The 12,614-nt window shown below is 36.3% G+C and overlaps 1 protein-coding gene across 2 annotated transcripts in view; it reads left to right on the top strand.

Moving 5' to 3' along the window:
• KPNA3 (karyopherin subunit alpha 3) overlaps nucleotides 1–12,614 on the top strand; it is a 93,363-nt gene that overhangs the window by 49,099 nt on the left and 31,650 nt on the right. For both annotated transcript variants that reach the window (NM_002267.4, XM_017020561.2), the window contains exons 3-6: nucleotides 10,538–10,627; nucleotides 10,808–10,837; nucleotides 10,927–10,979; nucleotides 11,118–11,213. In NM_002267.4, the coding sequence (NP_002258.2) occupies nucleotides 10,538–10,627; nucleotides 10,808–10,837; nucleotides 10,927–10,979; nucleotides 11,118–11,213 (269 nt within the window). The remainder of the gene's footprint in view (nucleotides 1–10,537; nucleotides 10,628–10,807; nucleotides 10,838–10,926; nucleotides 10,980–11,117; nucleotides 11,214–12,614) is intronic.

Raw genomic sequence — 12,614 nt, 5'->3', positions numbered from 1 at the left:
TTTTTGGCTAACATTATTTCCTTTCCAGTTACTAAGGTTCAATTTCTGAAAATACTTGTAGTAGGACCAAAAATGAAATTAACTAAAGAAATCTCAAGCAATTTCTTATTTCAAGTTTAAGAATTCCCCAAGTAAGCAGTAGAAAGCAAACTTTTCCTGAAACAACGCCTGAAGTTTATTCAGACAAAACTTAATTGATTTTGATGTGATTTTACAGAGATGTGGAGAGCTCTTCAAGAGAAGATTCTTCCACTCTTTATGGTCAGAGTATCTGTCCCTGATTCCAGGCCTTGCTCTCTCTATTGCTCCATTGAGGAGAGAATCACATTGTTTTTATTTAGTGACATTGAGATTCTTGAAAACAAAAGAGAGCTAGTCCCCAGAGTTTCACTGAGAAATTAAACTAGTGGATATCATCTGTCAATTGTAACTCACTTTACTCCATGGGATTTTGCTTTGAATATTTCATTTTCCCTTAGATTGTAAGCTTCTAAAGTGCAGATAATAACCACATTCACTATCCATCTACATCCCTCCACCCCAGCCTCCCAAATAACTCCTAAGTCTCTTTCTTAGCCCATCTCAAAATGCCTAATCACATTGTGGCTATGTAGTCGATTAAGTGCTGATATTCACGAATTAAATTTAATTATGATCTCTAAAAATATGCACTTATATTTAAGTCATGTATTGAAGTTTTAAGACAAATACTTCAGATATAGGCCGTGCTACTCAAAAGTCCTGATCTGTGACAAGTTAGGGAGCTTGTGCCAAAATGTAAAAGAAGGCACTGCTTCCTTCAAGAGAGTCTTTCTGACAGAAGTAAATTGAAAGATATCCCATGTTCACGGATTTGGAAGAATTAGTATTATTAAAATATCAGTACTACCCAAAGTGATGTACAGATTCAGTGCAATCTCTATCAAACCTCTAATGTCATTTTTCACAGAAATAGAAAAAAAAAAACTAAAATTTATATGAAACCACAGAAGACCCCAAATAGCCAAAGCAATCTTAAAAGAATGAACCCAGAAGCATCACACTACCTGATATGAAAATCTACTGCAAAGCCATAATAATCAAAACAGCATGATAGAGACATAAAAACACACACACAGAACAGTGGAACAGAAAAGTTTGCTTTCTACGGCTTACTTGGGGAATGCTTAAATTTGAAATAAGAAATTACTTGAGATTTCTTTAGTTAATTTCATTTTTGGTCCTACTACAAGTATTTTCAGAAATCGAACCATAGTAACTGGAAAGGAAATAATGTTATACAGAAAAAAAGAAAGGGGTGTCTAAGGCAACTAAGGTGAATATTTGAAAAGATATGCTCTGACACGCAAGAATTTATTTCACCAGAAATAAATCCACAAATTTGTAGTTGGTTGATTTTTGACAAAGGTGCCAAGAACATGCCACAGGAAAGGACAGTCTTTTCAATAAATGGTCTTGGAAAAACTGGCTATCTACATGCAGATGAATGAGACCAGGCCCTTATTTCACACCATATACAAAAATCAACTCAAAATAGATTAAAATGCAAACATAAGATGTGAAACTGTAAAACTACTGGAAGAAAACACAGGGGAAAATCTCCATGATACTGGTCTGGGCAATGTTTTCCTGGATATGACCCCAAAAACACAGCCAACAAAACAAAAATAGACAGATGCAATTATATCAAATTTAAAAGGTTCTGCACAGCAAAAGAGACTATTAATAAAGAGAGAACCTATAGAAAATATTTGCAAACCATACATCTGATAAGGGGTTATATATAATGAACTCAATAGCAAGAAAACTAACAATTAAAAAATGGGCAAGGATTGGGCACGGTGGCTCACGCCTATAATCCCAGCACTTTGGGAGGCCGAGGCGGGCGGATCACAAGGTCAGGAAATCAAGACCATCCTGGGTAACACGGGTGAAACCCCATCTCTACCAAAAATACAAAAAATTAGCTGGGCGTGGTGGCATTTGCCTGTAGTCCCAGCTACTCGGGAGGCTGAGGCAGGAGAATGGCGTGAACCTGGGAGGCGGAGTTTGCAGTGAGCCGAGATCACGCCACTGCACTCCAGCCTGGGTGACAGAACAAGACTCCATCTCAAAAAAAAAAAAAAAGGGCAAAAGAGCAGAATAAACATTCTCAAAACATAGAACTGGCTAATAGGTATACTAAAAATTGTTCAACATTACTAATCAGAGAAATAAAATTAAAACTACTGTGAGATATCATCTTACACCTGTTAGAATAACCATTATCAAAAAGATGAAAGATAACGCATGTTGGTGAGGATGTGGAGAAAAGGAAACTCTTGTACACTCTTGGTCAGAATGTAAATTAGTATAGACATTATAGAAAGCAGTATGGGGAAGTTCCTAAAAATAGAACTACCATGTGATCAAGCAATCCCACTACTGTGTATATATCCAAAGGAAAAATGAAGCCAGTATGTTGAAGAGATACCTGCACTCCCATGTTTATTGCATCACAATACCCGAGATAAGGAATCAGCCCAAATGTCCACCAGTAGACAAATAGAAAAAGAAAATGTGGTATGTATACATAGTGGAATACTTTTTAGCCTTAAAAGAAAGAAACCCTCTCTTTTGCAACAACGTGGATGAACTTGGAGGACATTACATTACCAGAAATAAGCCAGGCAAACAAGGCAAGTATCACATGCTCTCACTTATGCATGGAGTCTAAAAAAGCTAGACTCATGTAGGATGGTGGTTACCAGGGGCTGGGGCCAGGGGTGGGGGGTACAGGGATTTGGGGAGATATTGATTCAAAGTATAAAAAATTTCAGTTAGATAGGAGGGATAAGTTCAAGACCTTTACTGTAGAACATGGTATATTGGTCAGTTTTCACGTTGCTGATAAAGACATACCTGAAACTGGGCAATTTACAAAAGAAAGAGGTTTATTGGACTCACACTTCCATGTGGCTGGGGAGGTCTCACAATCATGGCAGAAGGTGAAAGGCACATCCCATATGACAGCAGACAAGAGAGCTTGTGCAGGCAAACTTGTTTTTAAAGCCATCAGATCTTGTGACACTCATTCACTATCATGAGAACAGCGCAGGAAAGACCCACCCCCATAATTTAATCACCTCCCACGGCACACGGGAATTGTGGGAGTTACAATTCAAGATGAGATTTGGGTGGGAATACAGCCAAACCATATCACATGGTTATGAACTATAGTTAATAACAATGTGTTATATTCTTGAAAAATCACTGACAGTAGATTTTAAGTGTTTTCACCACACACACAAAAATGAAATGTAAGGTAATGCATGTGTTAATTTTTTTTTTTTTTTCTGAGATGGGGTCTCATTCTGTCACCCAAGTTGGAGTGCAGTGGCACAATCTTGGCTCGCTGCAACTTCTGCCTCCCAGGCTCAAGCAATTCTCCTACCCTCCTGGGTAGCTGAGACCACAGGTGCTCACCAGTTTGCTCAGCTAATTTTTTGTATTTTTGGTAGATACGGGATTTCGCCATGTTGCCCAGGCTGGTCTTGAACTTCTGAGCTCAAGCAATCTGCCCGCCTCAGCCTCCCAAAGTTCTGGGATTACAGGCATGAGCCACTGCACTCAGCTGTGTTTATTAACTCATAGCTATTATTCCACAGCTTATACATATTTCAGATCATCATGTTTTACTCAATACATATATAGAATTTTTGTCAACTTTTTAAAAATAATATGTTTAAAGCAGGTCTTTCTGTCTAAATAAAGAGCTGAACTAAACAGTGTGCTTAGTTTCACAGTTGGTTTACATTCTGGCACAAGCTCACCTCCCCACCTTTTTTTGTTACTTTAGAGGCTTATCACCCTGAAGGTAAAAGCTCCTTATCTTGTAGCAGAACTGTAACAAACAGTTTGAGAATTATTAACTAGTGTAAGGATCACACTTCAAATAACAGATACTGATCCGTCAAAATTGAGGATGACAGATGACATCTGTTTATTAATAGGTACTGTTTACCTGGCCTCTGACTCCTTTCGTGTGAATTGTTTTTTCTTTTACCTCCTTGCTCTCTTTCTTCCCAATTTAGAGAGGCTTTTATGCATCAACACTTAAACACACATCTGTACCTCTTTTTTTTCATCACATTGTAGACAGAGTTATGTAGGAATTAAGTAACTTGCATAGTCACAAGCTAATAAATGGCAGAGCTCTTACCATTATGCTATAATGCCTCTCAAAATACATGTGTGTTGGTTGAATAATGCTTCGTGGGTTGAGAATGAGCCCAAAACCTGTTACTTATATTTTCAACTTTTGGCACATTATATTAAATTTGACCTAATCTTTTCTTGATGATTGGTCAGTCAGGCCATAGGCCCTTATTTTCAGTAGATTTGGAGGTGAGGCAAGTTTAAGATCCTACATAAAGAAAAAATCCACCCAAGTGCCCCACTTGCTTGATAAGATCCAGTACTTGTTTAGTTAATTGTTTGAAAGATCTTTTAAAAATACTCTAAATTCCCCCATATTAATAAGCCAAAAAAGAAAAATATGATCATATCAGTTACTCATTTCTGATAAAAGGAATAGAAAGGAATTGCCTCATCTTGGTAAAGAGCACCACAAAAACCTCACAGCTAACATCACACTTAATGGTGAAAGACTAAATGCTTTCCCCTGAGATTCAGAAGCAAGGTGAGGAAGTCCATCATAACTGCTCTTATTCAGTATAATGCTGGAAGTTCTAGCCAGTGCCATATAAGGCAAGAAAAAGAAATGAAAGGTATGTAGTTTGTAAAGGAAGAACTAAAACTGTCCGTATTTGCAGATAATGTGATTATCTATGTAGAACATCCCAAGGAATCTATCAGAAAGCTCCTGGAACTAACAGGTGAGTTTAGCAAGGTCACAGAATAAAGAAATCAGTCGCATTTATATATGCTGAACATGCAGAAACCAAAATTAAAAACAATACAATTTTTAGACAATTCAAAGAAAATAAAATACTTCAGTATATATTAACAAACATGTACAGGATTTATACAGTGAATATTACAAAATGCTGGTGAAAGACATGAAACAAGACAAGTAAATGGAGAGATGTATACTGTGTTCTTGGATTGGAAGCCTCAACGTAATAATGACATTGATTCTCCCTAAATTGATCTGTTGGTTTAATGCATTTCCTATTGAAATTCAACCAAGATATTTTGTGGACATAGATAGACATTTAAAAATGTGTATGGAAAGACACAGTCTCTAGAATAGCTAAAACAATCTTGACAAGAAAAAAGGGGAAATTACTTCACGCAATATGAAAGCTTATAGTATATAGCCATAGTAATCAATACTGTGTGTTATTGGTAGAAGGAAAGACATAGACCATGGAACAGAAAATATAACCCAGAAATACACCTGCACAAATACCTCCAGCTGATTTTTAGCAGTTACAAAACCAATTCAATGGAGGGAAGGACAGCTTTTTCAAAAATGATGAGCCTAAACTTCACACCTTATGCAAAAATACAAAATGGATTATAGAATTAAATGTAAAGCACAAAGCTATAAAAGTTTTAGGAAAAAACATAGAGAATTTTCTGGATCTGGAGACAAAGAGCTATATTTGGCCACGAAAGCCTAATCCATAAAAGAAACAATTGATAAATTGGACCTGATTAAATTAAAAATTTTGCTGTGTGAGAGCCCATATGAAAAGATAGAAAAGACAAGTTAGATATTGGAAGAAAATATCTGTTAAACCACGTATTCAGTAAAAGACTAGTATCCAGCACATACAATGAACTCTCAGAACTCAGCAGTAAGAGCCAGGTGCAGTGGCATAACACCTGTATTCCCAGCTACTCAGGAGGCTGAGGCAAAAACAACTCTTGAGCCCGGGAGTTGGAGGCTGCAGTATGCTATGATGTTGCCTATGGACAGTCACTGCACTCTAGCCTGGGCAACATAGTGAGACCCCTGGCTCTTACACACACACACACACACACACACACACACACACACACACACACACACACAGACACACACACTTAATAGTAAGAAAAAACAAAACAGTCTAATTTAAAAAGATGTGAAGAGTCATTTCATTGAAAGGAGGACATACAGATATTAAATAAGCACATGAAAAGATGTTCAGCATCGTTAGCTATTAGGGAAATAGAGATTAAAGCCACAACTACACATCTATCAGAACAGCTAAAATAAACAGTAGTGACAACACCAAATGCTGGCGAAGATGTGGAGAAACTGATCACTCATGTTAGTGGTGGAAATGTAAAATGGTACAGTCACTCCGGAAAACAGTTTGTCAGTTTTTTGTCTAAACATGCAACCTCTGTATAACCCAGTGCTTACAATCCTGGACATTGATCTCAGAGAAAGGAAGATTTGTATTCATATGAAATCTGTACATGCATGTCTATATAGCAACTTTATTTTTTAATAGCCAAAACTTAGAAACAACACAGATGGCCTTTAATGGGTAAATAGACATACTGTAATATGTCTACAGTATATCTATATGATGAAATACTATTTGGCAATAAAAATGAACAATTATATAAGCAACAATTGTTGATACAAGCAACAATTTATATAAATCTCCAGACAATTATACTGAGCCTATAATTCTGTCATAAAAAGGTTATATACCATACGATCCCATTTATATAAAATTTTTGAAATGATAAAATTTTAGAAATGGAAGACAGGTTAGTAGTTGCCAAGGGTTATATACGGTGTCAGATGAGAAGGAGTTGATTTTGCTTATAAAAGGAGGAATGCATCTTGTGTTTTTGGAAGTGTTTACCATCTTGACTGTGGTGGTAGATAACATGAATCTATACAGGTGATAAAATTGTATGGGATGTAATACACACACACACATGCAAATACATGTAAAACGAGAAGTCTGAATAAAATAAGTGGATTGTATCAATGTCAGTATCCCAGTTGTGATACTGTACTATAGTTTTGCAAAGTGTTACCTTTGGGGTAACCTGGGCAAAGCATACAAGGGATCTCTCCATATTCTTATAACTGCATGTGAATATACAATTATCTCAATAAAAATTTCAGTTACCAAAAAAAGTCTAAGTTAGTATCGAAAAAAGCAGCTATTTGATAAGATGAATTAAATGATCCTGCAGGGAAAAAAGAAACATGCATTAGATTGTCAGTTCTTAACATGATTCATGAACCAGTAGTGTTATTTTAAAAAATTTGTTTTAATCAAAGCATAACACACTGAACAGAGTGCCCAAAACATAAATATAACTTATAAAACTTGTGGGTGAATATCCATGTAGTCACCCAGCAGTAATATCATTTCATAAATGTTAATATTGAGGGGAATTTTCATTGAGTATATTTTCCTACCTCATTAAAAGCATTTAGATGCAACCAGGGTTGGACTATTTCTTAAAAAACAAAACAAAACCCAAGGAACTAAAACCTAAACTAGATGAAGATTTAAAGTGAGGGTATTATTGGATAAAAACAGATTTAATTACTTATTTCAAGCTTGAAAGGGGGCTGATAAATAATGTAATTATCCTTTTCATAAGATTTAAAAGAATTGGCATCAAACTTGCTCCACAAGTTTAGGTATAGAATTGCAAGCCAGTTTTTCAAGGTGGAAAGAGGAATTTGGGAATGAAAAGGAAGTACTTTATATAGAGTTTAATAACATACAGAACTTACTAACTCAAACAATATATTAAGTTGGGTTATAAGAAATCGCCCATAGTTAACTGCTTTGACCTACAAAGCAGTTCATGTGGTTCAACCTAGTAAAAAACAGAAGATCCAAAAGGGCTAGGTAGATACATGCATACGTGGATAATAGATTAATAATGGATTTTTAAAGGAATTTAAGAAATCCATTTAATCCATATGTGTGTTTAAGGATTGGTTGGGTGTTGAAATTAGGTAAGTTCCCATAACCCCTGAGCTGCTTTCTCACCTGACAAAAGAAAAGTATACCCTTTACGGATGCTGAATTTATTGTAGTGCAGTTTTCAGGAGGGTAAAAATCTCTAGGTATCAACTGAAGGGACAGTTTAAGTTACTGGTTTTAATGATTAATCTGACCATTAGAAACCTGCCCAGTGATTATTTTTCCTTGGCTTGTACATATTTTTGTTAAGAGTAAAGTATGGGGCGGGCGCGGTGGCTCACGACTGTAACCCTACCACTTTTGGAGGCTGAGGTGGGCGGATCACCTGAGGTCAGGAGTTCGAGACCAGCCTGACCAACATGGAGAAACCCCGTCTCTACTAAAAATACAAAATTAGCCGGGTATGGAGGCGCATGCCTGTAATCCCAGCTATTCAGGAGGCTGAGGCAGGAGAATCACTTGAACCCGGGAGGTGGAGGTTGCAGTGAGCTGAGATCGCACCATTGCACTGCAGCCTGGGCAACAAGAGCAAAAACTCCATCTAAAAAATAAAAAATAAGTAAATATGGTTCTTGTGCCATAGATATTTTGGTCTATGTTAGGATGTTTTCAATTTAAATGCAGGGGTTGTTACCCAATGTTTGATAAAAGAAATAATTTACAAAGAAGCTATAATAGCTCTAAACTAGTATATGCCTAATAGAATGTCTCTCTCTCTCTCTCTCTCTATCTATCTCTCTCTCTATATATATATATATATGTGTGTGTATATATATATATATAAAGTCAAAATTTGCAAAATTAGAAGGGGAAATTCATCAAAGATATAATCATTGTGGGAGATTTTCTTAGTAATGAATAAACACAAGAAGAGATAGAAAATTTGAATAATTTAATTCACAAATTTTAACTAATAGACACATGTAAAACCACATATGTGTTTGGAAACTGGTTTTATGATAGAATAAGATGTAGTTTCCAAACTCTGCGCTGAGGTAACATGGGGCTCCACAGTGACCTGAAAGGGTCTTTGGGATATTTCAGTTTTGAGAGAAATACAGTGACATCTTTCAGACACCACAGAACTATTAGATCTCGAGGTAGTCCACAGTTTAAACACTTAAATAACACTACATTCCTTTCTACAATTATTTTATCTAAGAGTGAAATAATTTTTTCTTTTAGTTTATTTGTTTTTCTTTTCTTTTTCCCAAATGACTACTTTGGCGTACACTGTGGACTGAGAAAGTTTGGGAACTTCTGGTATAAAGCAGATGTCAGCTAATTTCAGTGTATTGTACATACATGTTCTCTGACTTCAATGTAATTAAATTAGAAATCACTGAATAAGACAGTTACAAAAACCTCATAGTTGTGAACGTTTTAAAGTATGTCTGAATATATTGAATATATTGAGTATAAAAGAAATCTTAATGGATTCTAGGAATACCTAAAAATGAACAGTAGGAAAACTATTATATGTCAGAACCTGTAGAATACAGTTAAAGTGGTAATTCAGGAGACAAATTTATAGCAAGTAGAGAGAAGGAACAACAACAAAATACCAGGAATTTTAGAAGTCTTATTAATTTAAATACAGCATAAATTTAAAAACATGAGTGCATCATCTAGTTTTTTGCTTCATAATACACCACTCCAAACTATGTAGCTTAAAACAATAGCCATTTTATTGAGCTAACAATTTTGTGGGTTGGCAGAGTGGGTTTTCTGGCACAGGCCAGTTCAACTGTTTTCTGCAGGCTTCCCTTACTGTCTCTGGTCAGCTGACAGGGTTGGTTGGTGACTAGATGATCTAACATGGTCTCAGGTAACTTGGCTGGGACTTGTTTGTTGTCCACACAGTCTTATTCTCCATGGCTCAGTGTTCACAAGGTGATTTCAGGAAAAAAGTTGCAAAAGAGAACCTGTCCCTGATGTGTAAGCACTTTTCAAGTCTGTTTGCTTAATGTCCCATTGCCAAAGCAAGTCACACAGCCATGCCTACAGTCAGTGCGGGACTGGATATGGGAAGGGGAATTACTGCCATTTTTGCAAACAATCTACAATTTAAGTATGAGCAAACTTACGCAAATAGGCAAGGCGCAGTGGCTCACGCTTGTAATCCCAGCACTTTGGGAGGCCGCGGCAAGCGGATCACTTGAGGCCAGGAGTTTGAGATCAGCCTGGCCAACACGGCAAAAACACATCTCTACTAAAAATATAAAAATTAGCCAGGTGTGGTGGCGCACGACTGTAATCCCAGCTACTCAGGAGTTTGAGGCACGAGAATCACCTGAACCCAGGAAGCAGAGGTTGGAAGTGAGCTGAGATTGTGCCACTGCACTCCAGACTGGGTGACAGAGCAAGACTCTTGTCTCCAAAAAAAAAAAAAAAAAAAAACACCACAGTGGGTGCTTAATGAAGTGTGTGTGTGTAAAAGCCAGCCAGGAAATTTTGTTACCGAAGCCAGAATGTGACCCTTGTCATTGGTTTGCAGTATGCACATTTAATTCATATTATCCTTATGTGTTCAGTATTTGTTTCATAATTGCCTAATAAAGTTGAAGTAGTTTTAATGGATTTTTCATTAACAGTAGTCCTTATGACTTCTTAAGCATTTATTGGTTGCCTTTCAGAACAAAAGAGATGAACACTTATTGAAAAAGAGAAATGTTCCCCAAGAAGAAAGTCTAGAAGATTCAGATGTTGATGCTGATTTTAAAGCAGTAAGTTACCATGTTTTAATAGTGATTTTAAAATAATTTTTATAGTAACTGTGAGAACTTCATTTTTAATATAAGACCAACTTTATAATGATAATGAAAGTATATTAACTCAGGTACACTGTTTAATGAATGTAATTTTGTTAATAAACTCTGCTGAACTATTTTTTTTTTCTTTTTAAGCAAAATGTAACCCTAGAAGCTATATTGCAGGTATGTTACTAAATTAATACTCTCGTTTTGAAGTATTTTGAAATTGATTTTTTTTTTTTCATTTCTGAAATTTACATTTGGTATTGCAGAATGCCACAAGTGATAACCCAGTGGTCCAATTGAGTGCTGTCCAGGCAGCAAGGTAAATACTAATTTGTCTAGAGAGAGAATTATGTCATTCCTCAGTTGTGTTACCTGGTAGTCTAGAAGTTAATATGTTGTTATTTCTTTTCACAGTTTGAAAATTATAGCAATTAATTTCTCATATTTATTTTCCTAGAAAACTGTTATCCAGTGACAGAAATCCACCGATTGATGACTTAATAAAATCTGGGATTTTACCAATTCTAGTCAAATGTCTAGAAAGGGATGATAAGTAAGTATGGATTTTACTCCCTATTCAGTTTTTTTCAGTTAACTTAAAAGTTTGGATTATTACTTAACCAGTGAGTTCAGTTTGGTTTTGTACTTATGATGTTTTTCAATCGTCATATATTTTAATTTAATTTTCTTATTCTGTGATCATATTTAGCAGACCCAGAGTGCTTCTCGTTTTCATTTCTGAAGGATGTGTATGTTTTCTAGGAAATTTTTATCTCCTGTTTATTGCCTGTTTTAACTTATCTCAAATATTTATAGTCTTTATTAGGATTTTTTATTACTAATATTTTAAAACAACCCAAATAATGTTTGAGTCACTCTTTGCTTATGAGCCTATATATAGATTAACCTCATGACTAAGTCAACATGGATGGTTTCCAGAACTAAGTGGCTCTTTCTTACCCTGGGAATCTTCCAGCTGATTACTGATCCTCTGTGTTGTCTTTAACAGAACTTCATCCATGATAAGTTGTCCAATGTCAGACTTTTTGTTTGCTGCAAATTAAGAATAAGGGGACAGGTTATATTTACCCAGGAGAGAAGGAGTAAAACTCCACTGGATATCTTTTGAGGAACTGGCCCTATTTCCATTTTTGTTTAGTGATATCTCAGTGCTGTGCCTTAAACTTTGTTAATTTGGATTAACTGGGGAGAATATAAGTTTGAACTCCAAAACATATTAAAACAAATGCTTTTTTTTTGCATTTAAGAGCATCTAGACTGAAACTTGGGATATTTTGCTAAATGTTGTCCAAGGAATTTTCAGTTGGCTAGATAAGAATAGTGGTATATAAATGTTGCCACTAAGGGTTTTTAGTATTTAAAAATACCATTTGCTTTCGTTGTGTGCCACAACCTCTCCCACTTTCCACCCCCAGGCCTGTAACACTTTTTAAAATACTATCATGTTTGTTTTCTGTAACAGTGTTACTTAAGTAAAGGTAAGTTTTATTTTAGCTGTTGAAAAAATAAATTCTGGCTGGACGCAGTGGCTCACGCCTGTAATCCCAGCACTTTGGGAGGCCGAGGTAGGTGGATCGCTTGAGTCCAGGAGTTCGAGAGCAGCCTGGGCAACATGGTAACATCCCAGCTCTACAAAAAAAAAAAAAAAAAAAACACGAAAATTAGCCAGGCATGGTGGCACATGCCTATAGTCCCAGCTACTTGGGAGGCTGAGGTAGGAGGATCGTTTGAGCCTGGAATGTGGAGGTTGTCCTGAGCCAATATCATGCCATTGCACTCCAGCCTGGGTAACAGAGCAAGACCCTGACTCAAAAAATAAATTCGGCTGGGTGCAGTGGCTCACACCTGTAGTCTCAGCACTTTGGGAGGCTGAGGCAGGTGGGTCATGAGGTCAGGAGATCGAGACCATCCTGGCTAACGTGGTGAAACCCTG

The sequence above is a fragment of the Homo sapiens genome, chromosome 13 (assembly GCF_000001405.40).
Source record: "Homo sapiens chromosome 13, GRCh38.p14 Primary Assembly".
In the NCBI taxonomy this organism is placed as follows: Eukaryota; Metazoa; Chordata; class Mammalia; order Primates; family Hominidae; genus Homo; species Homo sapiens.
Note: the sequence above shows the minus strand (reverse complement) of the source record. Positions and strands in the feature narration are given on the sequence as shown.